Source organism: Homo sapiens, chromosome 17 (genome assembly GCF_000001405.40).
Source record: "Homo sapiens chromosome 17, GRCh38.p14 Primary Assembly".
In the NCBI taxonomy this organism is placed as follows: domain Eukaryota; kingdom Metazoa; phylum Chordata; class Mammalia; order Primates; family Hominidae; genus Homo; species Homo sapiens.
In genome coordinates, this window is record NC_000017.11 from 72974784 (window position 1) to 72991381 (window position 16598).

The window sequence follows — 16598 nt, forward strand, 5'->3', positions numbered from 1 at the left end:
AGCCCTGCAAGCTCCATTCATGATGAGTGCCCTAGACAGGTGTACTACCTCTTATCTTTTATACCATGTTTTTACTGCACCTCTTCTATGTTCAGATACACAAATACTTGTCATTGTGTTACAGTTGTCCACAGCATTCAACACAGTAACATACTATACAGGTTTGTAGCCTCGGAGCAATAGGCTACACCCTACAGCCTATGTGTGCAGTAGGCTATCCCATCTTTGTTTGGGTAAGTACACTCTATGATGTTTGAACAATGAGACATTTCTCAGCATGTATCCCCACCGTTGAGTAATGCATGACTTTATTAGAAGGTAGGGCCTTTGGGAGATGATTAGGTCCAGGGTTAGTGCCCTTATAAAGAGGTCCTAGACCAGGCGGTGGCTCACACCTGGAATCCTCACAATTTGGGAGGCCAAGGCACATGGATCACCTAAGGTCAGGAGTTTGAGACCAGCCTGACCAACATGGTGAAACCCTGTCCCTACTAAATACAAAAAAATTAGCCAGGTGTGGTGGTGCATGCCTATAATCCCAGCCACTTTGGAGGCTGAGCCAGAAGAATCACTTGAACCCTGGAGGCAGAGGTTGCAGTGAGCCGAGATTGTGCCATTGCACTCCAGCCTGGGCAACAAAAGTGAAAACTTCATCTCAAAAAATAAAATAAATTAAATAAATTTTAAAAATAAAGAGGTCTTAGAGAGCTGCCTCACCCCTTCCGCCATGTAAGGACACAGTGAGAAGGTGCCCTCTATGAACCAGAAAGTGAGCTTTTCACAGACACAAATCTGCTGCTGCCTTGACCTTGGACTTCCCAGCCTCCAGACCTGTGAGAAATAAATGTCTGTTGTCTATAAGCTACCCACTTTATACTATTTTGTTATAGCAGCCCAAATGGACTAAGACAGTAGGGTATCAGTTCAGCTGCTGTAACAAAGATAGAAAGCGAACAATGACTGAAGTACAATAGACCATTATTTCTTAGCCAGTATTATTTCTTAGGTAAAAGTCCTGGTAGTAAGGCTACAGCAGGTATGGTGTATAGAGCAGGTATCAAGAAGGACTGAGGCTTTGAGAAAACAAGAATGAAAATGGCAGATAGGCCAGGCGTGGTGGCTCACACCTGTAATTCCAGCACTTTGGGAGGCTGAGGCGGGTGGATCACGAGGTCAGGAGATTGAGACTATCCTGGCTGAAATGGTGAAACCCCGTCTCTACTAAAAATACAAAAAATTAGCCGGGCGTGGTGGCGGGCACCTGTAGTCCCAGCTACTCGGGAGGCTGAGGCAGGAGAATCACTTGAACCTGGGAGGAGGAGGTTGCAGTGAGCCGAGATCATGCCACTGCACTCCAGCCTGAGCGACAGAGCGCGACTCCATCTCAAAAAAAAAAAAAAAAAAAAAAAGGCAAATAATGTCTTAGCATTCTTATGAAAATTAATATTTGAATTTTTAAATTATTATTATTATTTTAACCTCTCAGCTCCCTTGAAAGGATCTTGAGGAAACTCTAGGCAGTCCCCCAAACACACTTTGAGAACTACCACTTTAAGATCACACCTCTTTAATAAATGAACAAAAGGATAAAGACATGGCAAACAACAACTCAGTCCCTAGGTCTCACACTCACCCTCCATTCCAATTTTCCACTTAAAAAGAAAAAGAGTGATAACTGAAATGTTAGAGAAAGTATGAATCATCAATGGGCAACAACCACTGCTGGGAAAATGACACCGAGGGGGAAAATCCTCATTTGCAGAAAGGCACAGAAATGTCTCTGTTGGCCGGGCGCGGTGGCTCACGCCTGTAATCCCAACACTTTGGGAGGCCAAGGCAGGCGGATCACGAGGTCAGGAGATCGAGACCATCCAGGCCAACATGGTGAAACCCCAATCTCTACTAAAAATACAAAAATTAGCCTGGCATGGTGGCACGTGCCTATAATCCCAGCTCCTCGGGAGGCTGAGGCAGGAGAATCACTTGAACCCGGGAGGCAGAGGTTGGAGTGAGCTGAGATCGTGCCATTGCACTCCAGCCTGGCAACAGAGCAAGACTCCGTCTCAAAAAAAAAAAGAAAAAAGAAAAAAAGAAATGTCTCTGTTAGGTCTCAGGATTATATATTGTAACCAATGTTACAAAGGGACAGGAGTGGTGGGAATTTCTAACATGGTGCCCCCAAAGATGTTTTGCCCTTATCCCCAGGACCTATGACTATGACACGCCATCAGTACCATGCTGTGGTGTGTTGTGAGTCACAGCTTGCGTTAGGATAAGATTACCCGGTTGGGCCTGACCTAGTCCCAGGAGCCCTGAAAAGCAGAAAGCTGTGTCCAGTGAAGGCAGAAAGGGAAGTCAGAGAGATTCGAAAGTGAGAAAGTGCCTGAGCCATGACTGGCTGAAGAAGCAGGGAGCCACATGGGAAGGAATGTGGACGGCCCCAAGGAGTGGAGAGAGGCCCTGGCTAATAGCCAGAAAGGACATGGGGCCTCACTCCCGCAGCCCTGCTGTATCCTGCCAGCAGACAGGAGCTTGGAAGGGACTCCGAAATCCAGATGAGAACACGACCGGCTGACCCACCCACGTGCTCCCAACCCTCTGACCTATGGAGTTTTGAGCTAACAAAGGGTGCTGTTTAAAGCTGTTAGACTTATAATCATTTGTACACAGCAAGAGAAAACTAAAATACCAGGGCAGGAAAAGGAGCGTGTCCCCAGGCCCTAGTTCATGCAGATAAAACCTGTCTTGGATATCAGAGGCAAGGGGAGAACACCCCCACCCCTGGTGAGATACACCAGGGACAAGTTTAGATGAACCACCTGAAAAAGCATCAGAGAAAGTGAAAGAGCAAAGAGCAGAGAGAGGGACTAGGGACATGTGGGAAAGAACCATGAAGTGCTAGCACCTTCCATAAAACACACAAACAAAGGGCTGGAACAGAAACACCCCCACACAGCAACAATGAGTTTGGGGAAACGGTAGTGATATTATCCAAAGGGTAACGGCTCCCAAAGTGAATGAATGCTTCCTATTCAATAAAGCAGTAAAGTACCGAGGTGGCCTGGAGAGCACGGCCAGCCACCAGCTGCCTGGGAGAGCGAAGGTGCCCAGGAGACCGACTGCATCGGCACCTGTTCCCAGGAGCCTCTCCCACCCACAAAGCCACAGGAATAGCAACCAGCAGTGAGTCACCGGGTCACCAGAGAAAAACCAGCAAAATGTCAGTCTCCGAGCAAGCTTCTCTATCATTGGATTCCTAGCCAGGGTGGTCGTTGAGAATCTTCCAGGCCGTCCTCCAGCCTGCGAACGCAGGGGAAGTACGGGGAGGTTCTAGTGAGAATCTGGGCTGTCGTCTGGGCCCCATTTGTAAACCCCAAACCACAGCCCTCTTCCCTGCCCTTAGGCGTTCCCTGCCTTCCTCTTCCTCTTCCTTCCTTCCTTCCTCTTTCCCTTCTTTCCTCCCTTGCTCCCTCCCTCCCTTCATCAGATATTTACCGAGCATTGTTCCCTGTGAGTCACTGTGCTGGTGTTGGCGACACGGCCAAGAACAAGCCTAACAAAGTCCCTGTCCTCAAGGAGCCTACATTGTGGTGGGGAAACCGATGATAAAGAAGTAAAAAATATACAAACGAACAAACTGGATAAGGAAGGTTGCTGACAAGTTCTAGGAAGGAAATAAACAGAGAAAGCCACGCACATTGTGGGGGGTCAGGGAGGAGCTTGGGAGGAGACATTTGCACTGAGGCAGCCACGCACAGAGCTTCGGGAACTCTGTTTCAGAGAAAAGGAATAGCAGATGCAAAGGCCGGGAGGTGGGACAGGGCTTGGGGAGCTTCTAAGAAGGGGGTGGGGAGACTGTGGGGAGCATGGAAGTGGAGGTGAGGGAGTAAGGGGGACCAGTCAGGAGGCCAGGTTCTGGGACAGAGACAGTAATGCCTTAGGCTGGGGTGGAAAGGAGTGGACAGGATGGGTCCACAAGACCTTTTTGGAAAGGTGCCAACAGCACTTGTTCATGAGAACGAAAGGAAACAACAAATCATCTCTGTTATCATTGAACACTTAGGGCACGCCAACTCTGGTAAGGCCCTGCCTTCAGCCCTGGGATACAAAGAAGGATGAGGTCTGGGTCTTGCTTTCAATGAGGTGACTGACTAGCCAGAAACATAATTTTACAAAGATAAAAAAGAAGGCCCTTGCTCTGGGGCTGACATGGTTAGGTTTTGTGTCTCCACCCAAATCTCATCTTGAATTGTAAACCCCATAATCACCACGTGTCAAGGGAGAGACCACGCGGAGGCAACTGAATCATGGGGGCAGTTTCCCCCATGCTGTTCTCGTGATAGTGAGTGAGTTCTCACGAGATCTGATGGTTTTATAAGGGGCTCCTCCCCCTTCGCTTGCCACTTCTCCTTCCTGCCGCCTTGTGAAGAAGCTACTTTTTCCCCTTCACCTTCCGCCATTATTGTAACTTTCCTGAGGGCTCCCCAGCCACGCAGAACTGTGAGTCAATTAAACCTCCTTCCTTTATAAATTACCCAGTCTTGGGCAGTTCTTTATAATGGTCTGAAAACAGACTAATACAGGGGCTATGTAAGTGAGACAGATAATTCTCACTCCAGTTATGCTGAGAGGAACCTGGACTCCGAGAGCACATCTGATCCATGGAAATACTGTCTGTCTTCACCTGTCTTGAGAAGCAGAGCAGGCAATGGGATGAGGGACGGATAGAGACATTCCCAAACATTACTGGTGAAAGTGTAAATCAGTACAAGCTCAGGAGAGGGCAACTTGAGAATTTCTAGAAAAGGGAAAATTTGGGTCCTGATGTGTGAAGCGCCACAGAAAATCGAGCCAGTTCAGGCCCCTGCCTTGTCCCTACCCAGCTGAGCTGCAAGGAGGCTGCTCTGCAGAGCTCACACTAACCCACCTCCCTCCAACACAGGACCCCAAAACAAATCTTGCCTATAACAGGTAGCATGCTGGAAAACCAAGACCTCAGATGATGCAGCTGGCAGAGTCTCAAACCTATGCTACTGCCCAAGGTAGATGGAGGCAAAGCAGCATGCCCTCCTCCCATAACCTGCTCCCCAAAGCGGCAAGCACCCCTCCCATGACTTGCTCCCCAAAGCAGCACACCCACTTCCCATGACCTCCCCAAAATGGTGCATCCTTCTCCCACGACTTGCTGCTGGATCCACTGATTCCTACACCAGCTCTCCAGCTGGGACAGCCACCCTTCCTGTCCCCAGCCACCCTGCTCTGTTAAGACCATGACATCCTATTTGCATCTATAACTCCCACCAACAATAGCGGGACCCAGGTGCTTATTTATGAAGATATTACTGTACATGTACAAATCTCAAAGAATCATCTAAAGAACGATTATTAACAAAAAAAGGTATTTTGTTTGGTGGCTCAAGACAAAATTAGTGGTGGCTCAAGACAAAATCAATAGCTTTTCTATGCAAAAACAACGGCCAGATGGAATATGTCATGAAATAGGAGACCCCGTCTGTAATACTCATAAAAGGAAATGAAATACCCAGGAATACATTCAACCCTAAACATGAAAAGTCCTTATGAAGAAAACTTAAAATGCTACTGGGAGACGCGATGAGTAGCCTGGATAGATGGAGTGGTGAGCTTTGTTCTTAGGCAGAAACGCTCATCGTCATAAACCTGTCATTTCTGCCTACGTTAATGTAGAAATTTGAAACAAAGCTTGTAAAAAAAAATACCTAGACGATGTTCTTGAAATTCGCAAGCTGATGCTAAAGTTCACATGGGAAAATATGCTGTAAGAATAACCAAGAAACTTTTGAAAAGGAACGTAATACAAGTAATACAGAAGACGAATAGATGATAAGACGTGAAGTTGCAGCAACTGAAACAGAATAGTACCTGAAGAGGCAGAGCTGAAAAGATTAAAGCGGCACCATATAATAAAAATAGAATGTGAGGCTGGGCACGGTGGCTCATGCCTGTAATCCCGACACTTTGGGAGGCTGAGGCGGGTGGATCAAAGAGGTCAGGAGTTTGAGACCAGCCTGGCCAAGATGGTGAAACCCCGTCTCTACTAAAAATACAAAAATTAGCCAGGCATGATGGTGGGTGCCTATAATCCCAGCCACTATGGAGGCTGAGGCAGAGAATTACTTGAACCTAGAAGGCAGAGGTTATAGTGAGCTGAGATCATGCCACTGCATTCCAGCCTGGGTGACAGAGGGAGACTCCATCTCAAAAAAAAAAAAAAAATAGAATGTGAGCTACAAATATAACATTAAATTTTCTGGTAGGCACAATCACCAAGGGGAAGGAAACAGGTGAAATTAATTGTAATAACATATTTTATTTTATCCAAATATATCCAAAATAGTTTCACTTCAATAAGGTAAGCAATATAAAAATTGGTAATGAGATATTTTATACATATATATTTTTAGTAAGTCTTCAAAATCCACTGTGTATTTTTTATTTATAGCCCATCTCAATCTGGACTAGTCACACTTCAAGCACTCAATACACACATATGGCTGGCTAAATGGCTAGTTTATTATTCACCTTAGGACTACAAAAATCCAGAAGCAAATACGTAAATACATCTTCTGATTTAGTAAATTTTATAGCTGGCATTTACATTAACGGAGAAAAGATGGATTATTCAACAAATGGTATCAAGACTTCTGAGAGCCATCTGGAAATACATACATTTTAATCTCTATCTCACTTTTTATACCAAAATAGATTATTTTAATCCCTATCTCACTTTGTATACCAAAATAGATTCTGGATGAATTAAATATTTAAATGCAAAAAAAAAAAAAAAGGAAACCAAGTTGTAGAAAAAAAATAGGTATTTTTAATCCTCTTGGAATGAGGAAGACTTTACTAAGTATGAATCAAAAAAGACTAAGTTCAAAGAGGTACAAATTAAATAAAAATCTACATGGTTGGAAGCACCATAAACAGACTCACAAGTGACCAACTGAGAAAAGAATTATAATAATATTGCAGATAATTTTCTGAATACACAAGGAGCTCCAAAATAATGAGTTAGGAAAGACCAACCATGGAACAGAAAAGTAAGAGAAAGACACAGACACTTCACAGAAAGGGAAATACAAACAGCTTTGAAACACGTGGAAAGATGCTAAGCTGACTAATAAGACAAAGCTGTAGGCCGGAGCAGTGGCACACATCTGTAATCCCAGCCACTTGGGAGGCCAAGGCAAGAGGATTGCTTGAGGCCAGGAGTTTGAGACCAGCCTGGGCAGCATGGTGAGACTCCATCTCTAAAATTTTTTTTTTTTTTTAAACAAAGAAGACTCCATGAAATACCATTTTTTACCTATTCCTATTAACAAAAAATCAAAAATTTTACTAAAACCCTATAGGGATGGGGTATGGATAAAGACATTCTCAAACATTGCTGGTAAAAGTATAAATCAGTATAAGCTCAAGGAAGGGCAACTTGAGAATTTCTGTAAAAGGGAAAATTCACAAATATCCACTGTATAATCCCACTTTCAGAAACTTAGTTTTATAGATATGTTCACATGGACTCAAATACAGACGGTAGCTACTTTCTATCTGATGTGGTCCAAACTGGTCATTAATAGGTTAATTTTAAACATGGAAAATGGGAAGAATCTCCCCCCAAAAGTAATTTTAATTTCAAGCAAATAAATGTGCATTCACTTGCAAATCTTATGATGTAAATCAGAGGCCTCTTTCGTCCATATCGGTCAACTGATAAAAGTTCTGTTTCGTCTATTTTGCAAAAACCTTGTTCGTAATACTTCATTTACAATCTTCAGATTTTGTTTCTTTAAAGTGGTGGAAAGACTTAAAGACACCTGGGGAGAAATCTGGAAATAGAATCTCCATTTTTCTAATTCGTTGCCAAGTCTTTTTTTTTTTTAACAGCTGTCTCTACTATGCCTTATTTGACAGAAATTTGGTGATTCAATGTTAGCAAATCTCTTCAAATCTGAACTTTCATTAAAATTACATAACATTTGATGAAATCAAATGATGGCAGCAAGTGCAGCTAAAATAAATAGTTGGATTAATGAACAACTGACTCAGGTTGCACTGACGACAGGGCTGCAAGTGTTTGGAGTATAATGGGCAGCAGAAACACAGAGTGTCTATTATCCATGCATCTCCATCCAGGCAAGGTCAACTCAGAGAACGTCTATTAAATATCCACCAGGATATTCACTGCATCACTGTTCCTAAGAGTAAAGGACATGAAACAATCAAAATGCCCCTCAACAGGGAACTGATTAGATAACTCACAGTACCTTCATTTGATGGAATAGTACCCAGGGTGTTTTTTGTTGTTGTTTTTTGTTTGTTTATTTGTTTTTGTTTTTTTTTTTGAGACCAAGTCTCACTCTGTAGCCCAGGCTGGGGTGCAGTGCCGCGATCTCAGCTCACTGCAGCCTCCACCTCCCAGGTTCAAGCGATTCTCCTGTCTCAGCCTCCTGAGGAGCTGGGATTACAGGCAAGCGCCACCACAACCAGCTAATTTTGTATTTTTAGTAGAGACGAGGTTTCACCATGTTGGCCAGGCTGGTCTCAAGCTCCTGACCTCAAGTGAACCACCTGCCTCGGCCTCCCGAAGTGCTGGGATTACAGGTATGAGCCACTGTGCCCAGCCTGTTGTTGTTGTTGTTTGCTTTTGTTTTTAAATAAAGCAACATATATGGATGTGCTAAGATGGAACTCCTCTGTCCAAGATGTGGTGAAATCAGGCTATGGAACAGACTAATATATCTACACTTACATGCTTAGGGAGACAGAAAGCACCTCTGGAAAAATACAGAAAACAACCTGGTTACAAGTGGTCACCTCTGAGGAAATAAAATAAGTAACCAGAAGACAGAGGTGAGAGAAAGACTTTTCACCACAGATCCCTTTGTACCTTTTGAGTGATGGGCTGTGGGCAATTTTCTCTTTCAAATCAGAGCCAGGCTCTTCACCCAGACTCCATAAAGATGCCCAACGGTGAGAACGAAGTCGGAAGAAAAGAGGGGTTGCTGAGAGCTGGTGAGTTACTAAGGAAAAGGGAACCCTGGGATCTGCCCTCACCATCTGGGCAAGGCTCCAAGGGAAGTGGGGATCTGTGAAATCCCCAGATGGATTTGGGAATCTAAGAGCAGGGGCCCTCTAGACCCCTTTCCTGAGTGCTGTTCAGGGGGGTGGCAAGCTCCAGAGAAGTGCCAGCAGAGGGGTAACCAGGCAGAGAGGACCTGGGTAGCCTCAGGTTTCTCATGGCTCAGAGTGGGGCTGGAATCGTGGAGTGATTCTGGGAGCCTCAGAGCCACATTGAAATAGAGAAACAGGAGGCAGGCCCATCGAATTGCCACTATCAGCAGCAAAAAAACCCAGCTCTTGCCCCTGTTCTTCCCCCATGAAGCAGAACGGCCTTGAAAGCTGCTTGTAGCATTGCATTGCACAGAGCATGGGCAGAACAAACTCAGCCACCCCAGGATGGGCACAGAAGTAGCCATGAGACCTGAAGGGGCTTGGTCAAACCCGGCCCACAGTCTGTTTTTGTAAATAAAGCTTTATTGGAACTCAGACATTTAAAAAAAAAAAAAAAGAAAGAAAAGAAAAAGAAAATTCAAGAAATAAGATTCCTTTCCCTTGGGTGTTGTGGGATACATGTAAAGCCCAGGCACACTGAATCCACAGGCTTCCCAGGAGTTCGAGTTTTATTCAGCAAAGCAGCTGTTCTCAAAGTGGGGTCCCCAAGGCCAGCAGCATCAGCAACACCCAGGAACTTGTTAGCAAGGCAAGTTATCAGGCCCCATTCCAGGCCTCTGGTGGGCCCAGCAACCCGTGTTTCCGCAAGACCTCCAGGGGATTCTCATGCACTCTCAAATGTGAGAATCACCGCAGTGAAGCAACGCCTTTTACAGGGGCTGAGAAAGGTGAAGTCTCACCGCATCTGGTTACCATTCCTGTGTGCCACAAAGTATTTTATCAGGCTCTGAGTCATCTGACATTTCCTTCTGGAAGCAGAATGTTAAATGAATAAGGAGGAAGGCCATTTGTTTATCTGAAACATAACAATATCCCAAATCTATTTCATTTACTTCTAAAGCTAATGATTCTGCAATCCAATAACTCTAGAGAATTGCACACAGCAGCAATAACCCTCTTATGGAATCAATTTTCTCTGGTTAGGAACAAAGAATTCTCCCCTCCAAAAATCCAACCTGCATTGATTAGTTCATCAGAGCACACTAGGAGGCCCAGCCGGGCTAGAGGCAGGGCAAACACAGTAAGTTGTCTGGGGCCACACCTCCCTAGGAATGTGCACACTCCACGTGGCTGACGCCACTCCACAAGGCACCAGGTACAAGGCAATGATCTGCTCATGCTTAAGTGGCCTGGGAGGGACATACAGGGGGGAAAGGACAGAAAGAGCTAGCTGAGTGAGGGCCACGCAGACAGCGCCCACAGAAGGAGGAACATGTCACAGAGTCGCTCTCTGAATTTTTGCCCACAACTTTGCTGACGGGACTAGCCAGCTATATCTGACCCTATCAGGTATTACCCACTTGTGACATTCATTTCCATGCAAACCTTCTTTATTTGCATGGGGCCTGCCTTTTTTTTTTTTTTTTTTTTTTTGAGACAGAGTCTCACTCTCTCACCTAGGCTGGAGTGCAGGGGCGCCATCTCGGCTCACTGCAACCTCCACCTCCCAGGTTCAAGCAATTCTCCTGCCTCAGCCTCCCGAGTAGCTGGGACTACAGGCATGCACCACAACACCGAGCTAATTTTGGTATTTTTAGGAGAGACAGGGTTTCGCCATGTTGGCCAGGCTGGTCTCGAACTCCTGACCTCAGGTGATCCACCCACCTCAAACTCCCAAAGTGCTGGGATTACAGGCATGAGCCACCGCATCTGGCCAGGCCTAACTTTTTATTACTGTCTTTTATTTATTAATCTTCCTGCAATCGATGCCCTATCTCCCTGTGATGGGTTGAACTGCATTCCTGCAAAAGATGTTGTCTATAAATGTGACCTTTTTTGCAAACAGGGTCTTTGTAAATGATCGAGGTAAGATAAGGTCATTAGGGCAGGTCCCAATTCAATATGATTTTTTCCTTATAAAAAGGAGAAATTTGGACACAGAGACAGGCACACAAGGAAAATACTACGGGAAGACTGGAGTTATGCTACTAGAAGCCAAGGAACCACCAAAAGCTAGGAGAGGGGCTTGGAGCTCATCCTTCCCTGGAGCCTTGAGGAGGCACATGGCCCTGCTGACATCTTGAGGTCAGAATCTTAGAACTACTTTCCAGAAAGTTCTAGCCTCTAGAACTGAGACAATAAATGTCTGTTGTTTAAGCTATTCAAATTGTGATATATTGTTCCCACAGCCCTAGGAAACCAGTTCACTCCCCAGTAAGACTCCAGGGTCCCCCAGAAGCCTGACGGCTGTGGAGCTAGCTTTGAAAGCCAGGACACCCTAGTCACAACACAACCACTAGGGGGAGATGTTGAGGTGATGCAAACCACGGCTGGGGAGCTGGACAAACTGGTGGTTGCCAAGCCTGGCCATGCAGACAAAGCCCCGGTGAAGCTTTTTAGAAATACAGACGTCTAAGCTCCACCCAAAGCCTCCTAAATCAGAACATCAGAAAGTCGAGTGTGACGCGCCACCTGCCAGGCACTGGCCCACAGACCCTCCAAGGACCCTTCCAACTGTGAGGTCCCATTACTGCCACACTGCTGCACCCTCCACCCCCAGCTAGCCCGAGGGGGCTCCATGGATCAGGAGCATCAGCCACCTTGACAGCTTGGGAGACACATACAGTCTTGGGCCCCAACCCAGACCTGCCAAATCATCATCTGCATTTTAACAGGCTCCCGGGGTGAACCGTGCACACATTCAGGTGTGAGAAGCACTTGTAGATTGGATATAAGACATAATCACAGGCCGGGCATGGTGGCTCATGCCTGTAATCCAAGCACTTTGGGAGGCTGAGGCAGGCAGATTACTTGAGGTCAGGAGTTCAAGACCAGCCTCGCCAACATGAGGGATGAACTGGTTACTGTCTTCAACTACAATGACTAGTTTTTTATACCAGAAGGGAAAGAATAAAAGCACAGGGTATTGTCCAATAAACCACAAAGCTCTGACATAGTATGGATGTGTGTTCCCTCCAAATCTCATGTTGAAATGTGAGCCCCAGTGCTGGAGGAGGGCCTGGTAGGAGGGGTTTGGGTCACGGGAGCAGATCCCTCATGAATGGTTTGTTGCCCTCCCCACAGTAATGTGCGAGTTCTCACTCTGTTGGTTCAGGAGAGCACTGGTTGTTTGAAAGATCCTGCTAGTTCTTTTGCTCCTTCGCTTGTCACGTCACACATCTGTTCCCCCTTCACCATCTGCCATGATTGGAAGCTTCTTGAGGCCCTCCCCAGAAGCAGATGCTGGCACTATGCTTCTTATACAGTCTGCAGAACTGAGAGCCAAATAAACCTATTGTCTGTAAATTACCCAGCCTCAGGTATTCCTTTATGGCAACACTTAATGGACTAAGACACTCCACAAGGACCTGAAGTTTGTCTCTTATTAGGTAATCACCAAATGTACTTGTGTAAAGTGTATCCAGTTTGAGTGAATGGGGCACTTAGCATACAGTTCCTGGATTTGTGACAGAAATAAGATGGAATGAACAATTAATCCCACAATCTACTAAAGAAATCAGTAAGAGGTACCCTGACACTCCCATGGCAAATTCAGAAATGTTAAAATATGCTCCCCATTCCCCAAAAAGGGGACTGAATGGGCTATTAGGGGAACAGATGGCTTGCACTAGAATTCTTTAGCAATCTCTGGAAAATAAGAAATGTTTTTTTCCTTGCCTAAAGACAAAGTCCTGAATCAGAATACCCCTTCCTCTTCCACACCAAGTCTTTCTCCACTCCAAAACTTCATGACACTTACAGAGAAAGGTGAAGCCCCAACGGTTGTTTTGGGAACAATCTCCCTCATCCACTCACCCATCCAAAAATGACACCACTTAAAAAAACAAACAGCCGGTGGGGGCTACTTCTTCCCATGTTCTCGTCCTGAATCGTAAAAGAGCAAAGCCTACTTTCCATTATTACTCTTGGCATGAATGGTTTAAAAAGAGCATCTATAAACCAGAAAAGAGAGCCACGTAAAAGTCAGCTCTCTTTTTTATTATTTTTGTGAGTACATAGGTGTGTATATTTATGGGGTCCATGAGATGTTTTGACACAGCCATGCAGTGTGAAATAAGCACATCATGGAGAATGCGACATCCATCCCCTCAAGCTTTTACCCTTTGAATTACAAACAATCCAATTACACTCTTTATTTTAAAGTGTACAATTAGGCTGGGCACAGTGGCTCACGCCTGTAATCCCAACACTTTGGGGGGCCAAGGCGGGAAGATCACCTGAGGCCAGGAGTTCAAAACCAGTCCGGCCAACATGGTGAAATCCCGTCTCTGCTAAAAACACACACACACACAAATTGGCCGGGTGCGGTGGTACATGCCTGCAATCCCAGCTACTTTGGAGGCTGAGGCATGAGAATTGCTTGAACCTGAGAGGCAGAGGCTGCAGTCAGACAAGATCACACCACTGCACTCCAGTCTAGGTGACAGAGCGAGAACTTGTCTCAAACAAAACAAAACAAAACAAAACAAATGTACAATTAAGTTATTACTGACTCTAGTCACCCTACTGTGCTATCAAATAGTAGGTCTTACTCATTCTTATTCCACTTTTTTTTTTACTTTTTCATGTTGCAAATCTGAAACTCGGTACCTTTTAAACAACAACTCCCCTTTTCTCAGTGCCCCTAGCCCTTGGCAACCGCAGTTCTACTTTCTGTTTCTATGAATTGTGTTACTTACTTATTTATTTATTTATTTATTTTTATTTTTGAGATGGAGTCTCACTCTGTTGCCCAGTCTGGAGTGCAGCGGCATGATCTCGGATCACTGCAACCTCCGCCTCCCAGGTTCAAGTGATCCTCCCACCTCAGCCTACTGAGTAGCTGGGATTACAGGCGTGAGCCACCACGCCCAGCTAATTTTTGTATTTTTAGTAGAGACAGGTTTGCTCTTTTTAAGATTACAATATGCAGGCAGAGCATGGTGGCTCACGCCTGTCATCCGAGCACTTTGGGAAGCCGAGGAGGGCACATCACTTGAGGTCAGGAGTTCGAGACCAGCCTGGCCACCACGATAAGACCTCATCTTCATCTCTACTAAAAAGATGAGGAAGTTCTAGAAATCTGCTTCACAACAATGTGAACGTATTTATTAACACTACTGAACTGTGCACGTAAAAATGGTTATGCTGGTCAGTTTTCTACTACGTGTCTTTCACCACAATAAAAAGAAAGATAAAAATAAAACAACAACAACAAAGAAAACAATTGTCCATCCTTACTCAATGCCAGAGGCTGCAGTCCCACAGCACAGCCAGATCTTGGCTGTATTTCACAGAGTTCTCCTGACTCTAGAATCATCCTTCCTTTAATTGTTTGATCCTTTTATTTGCAATGAAATGATTTTACCAAGATAACAGTACAAGTTTCTCTTACATTTCTTGGAGCTACTATCATCCCTTATAACATAACAGCGAGGGTATAAATATTCCATTACGTCAAATCATTTTGTTTATACTATCCCAGGATATGTCTTAAAGACATAGATTACCTTTAAATGATCTAGTCTTGTATCTGTTTTTGCCTTCTAATAGAATTTTTAAAGGGCATCTACCGTTCCAAGAAATTATCATTGTATTTGGGAAGTATGTTCATTTATAATGACAATTCTGTCATGCACCCTCACCTTCCATAGTTTATCAAGCTGGCTTTGAGTGAAGACTGTTTTTCTTATTCCACTGTTTCAAGATGTGGATTTTTGCATTTGTTAAGAGAAGGTGATAAACTCTCATCTTGAAAATGAAACAGATCATTACGTAAAGTCTCCACCAGTATTTGAGCCCTGGTATACCACTCTTCCAGTGATGGGCTTCACATACAGAAATTACGAAACTTATTTAGGGACATAACTGTCACCTAGGATAAAATGACTGCTCTCGTTAGAGGCTCTTCAGTAAATTTCTTTTGTCTTCATTATTTCAGTAATTTATTCTTTCGATGAGACGTCATCCTAAACTACACAGCCTAAAAATGGATAATGCTGCACGTAGTATCAGACTATTTGCAGATGATGCTGTAAGTGACTTACCCATCTTAGTACATGAAAGGCATAACATCAAAAATATTCCATCTCAAAAGCAAGCATTAGGCTGCAAAATTAATTAAACAAAAATTGGTGACATGCACTACCCTTAGGTCCTGCTTGGTCTTACAGTTAGAATGCTGACATTCAAACCGATGCAGAGCCTTGATGGCTGCTACAAATAAATTATTCCAACCAGTTACAAACCCTAAGACTGCCGGGTTCAGACAGCTTGATCCTAGTCACTACAAAATGACCAAGAAAGAAGAAAATAAATGAATAAATACAAAATGACCAAGAAGGAAAAAACCCCCAGGAAGGGTTCAAGTATAATAGTGTGATATATTAAAGAAACACATTTCCTTTTCCTATCAGGATTTTTTTTCTCTCTCTTTTTCAAGATGGAGTCTCCCTCTGTTGCCCAGGCTGGAGTGTAGTGGCGTGATCTCGACTCACTGAAACCTTGGCTTCCCAGGTTCAAGCGATTCTCCTGCCTCAGCCCTCAGCCTCGCGAGGAGCTGGAGCTACAGGTGCACGCCACCAGGTCCAGCTAATTTTTTTTGTATTTTTAGTAGAGACAGGGTTTCACCATGTTGGCCAGGCTGGTCTCAAACTCCTGACCTCAAGTGATTCACCTACCTCGGCCTCCCAAAGTGCTGGGATTACAGGCGTGAAGAACCGTGCCTGTCCCATATCAGGATTTTCTAATAATTCTCCCCGACCAACACACACACATCTACACTAAAATCTTACAGTGTATATATATATAACCTAGAGACTAAAGTTTAGGCTGCTTAAGTTAATGACTGTCAAGACCAGGGACCATTACTGTTATACAAAGTACGGAAGAAATATTTTGGTGACTATTACATGAGACAAAGTCTGCTGATCTACTGTCAAATACAATTCGTTTTTCCTTTACTTTGAGGTCATTTAGTCAATAGTTTTTAAGACTCCTTCTTAAGGCAATCTTTCAGAAATGTAGAAGAGTACAGAGAATAACAAGATGTAAGTCCACGTACCAACGATCTAGATTTAATAAAGGTTAACCTGTTACCATATTTGATTCAGATTTTTTAAGTAAACTATTACAGAAAGAATTGCAGCTCTTCTCTCTCCGCACCAATTAGAGGTACTCAATATCTGAAAAATTCCATGGGTATGCTTTATAACGCTATTTTTACACTTTTAATACCATGCTAATATATTTTTATATGTCTACAAAAAATTCACACTATTATTTTATACAATTTCAAACTTTAGTTAAATAGTATTTTACTGTATGTAGCATTCGGCAACTTTTGTTATTTTTATTTATTTTTTAATTTTTTTTTTTTTGAGATG

At 44.1% G+C, this 16598-nt stretch overlaps 1 protein-coding gene across 35 annotated transcripts in view, besides 2 other annotated features; it reads right to left on the reverse strand.

Annotated features, from left to right (window-relative positions):
• SLC39A11 (solute carrier family 39 member 11) overlaps window positions 1-16598 on the reverse strand; it is a 446740-nt gene that overhangs the window by 328835 nt on the left and 101307 nt on the right. The window lies entirely within an intron of this gene.
• Window positions 3121-3621: an enhancer, noted in NCBI's record as "H3K4me1 hESC enhancer chr17:70974043-70974543 (GRCh37/hg19 assembly coordinates)". NCBI's record gives its function as "activates a minimal SCP1, AML or CMV promoter by ChIP-STARR-seq in naive H9 embryonic stem cells {active_cell/tissue: H9 hESC(naive)}" and the evidence as "EXISTENCE:reporter gene assay evidence [ECO:0000049][PMID:30033119]".
• Window positions 11485-11534: a silencer, noted in NCBI's record as "silent region_8918". NCBI's record gives its function as "represses an Ori minimal core promoter by ATAC-STARR-seq in GM12878 lymphoblastoid cells {active_cell/tissue: GM12878}" and the evidence as "EXISTENCE:reporter gene assay evidence [ECO:0000049][PMID:35858748]".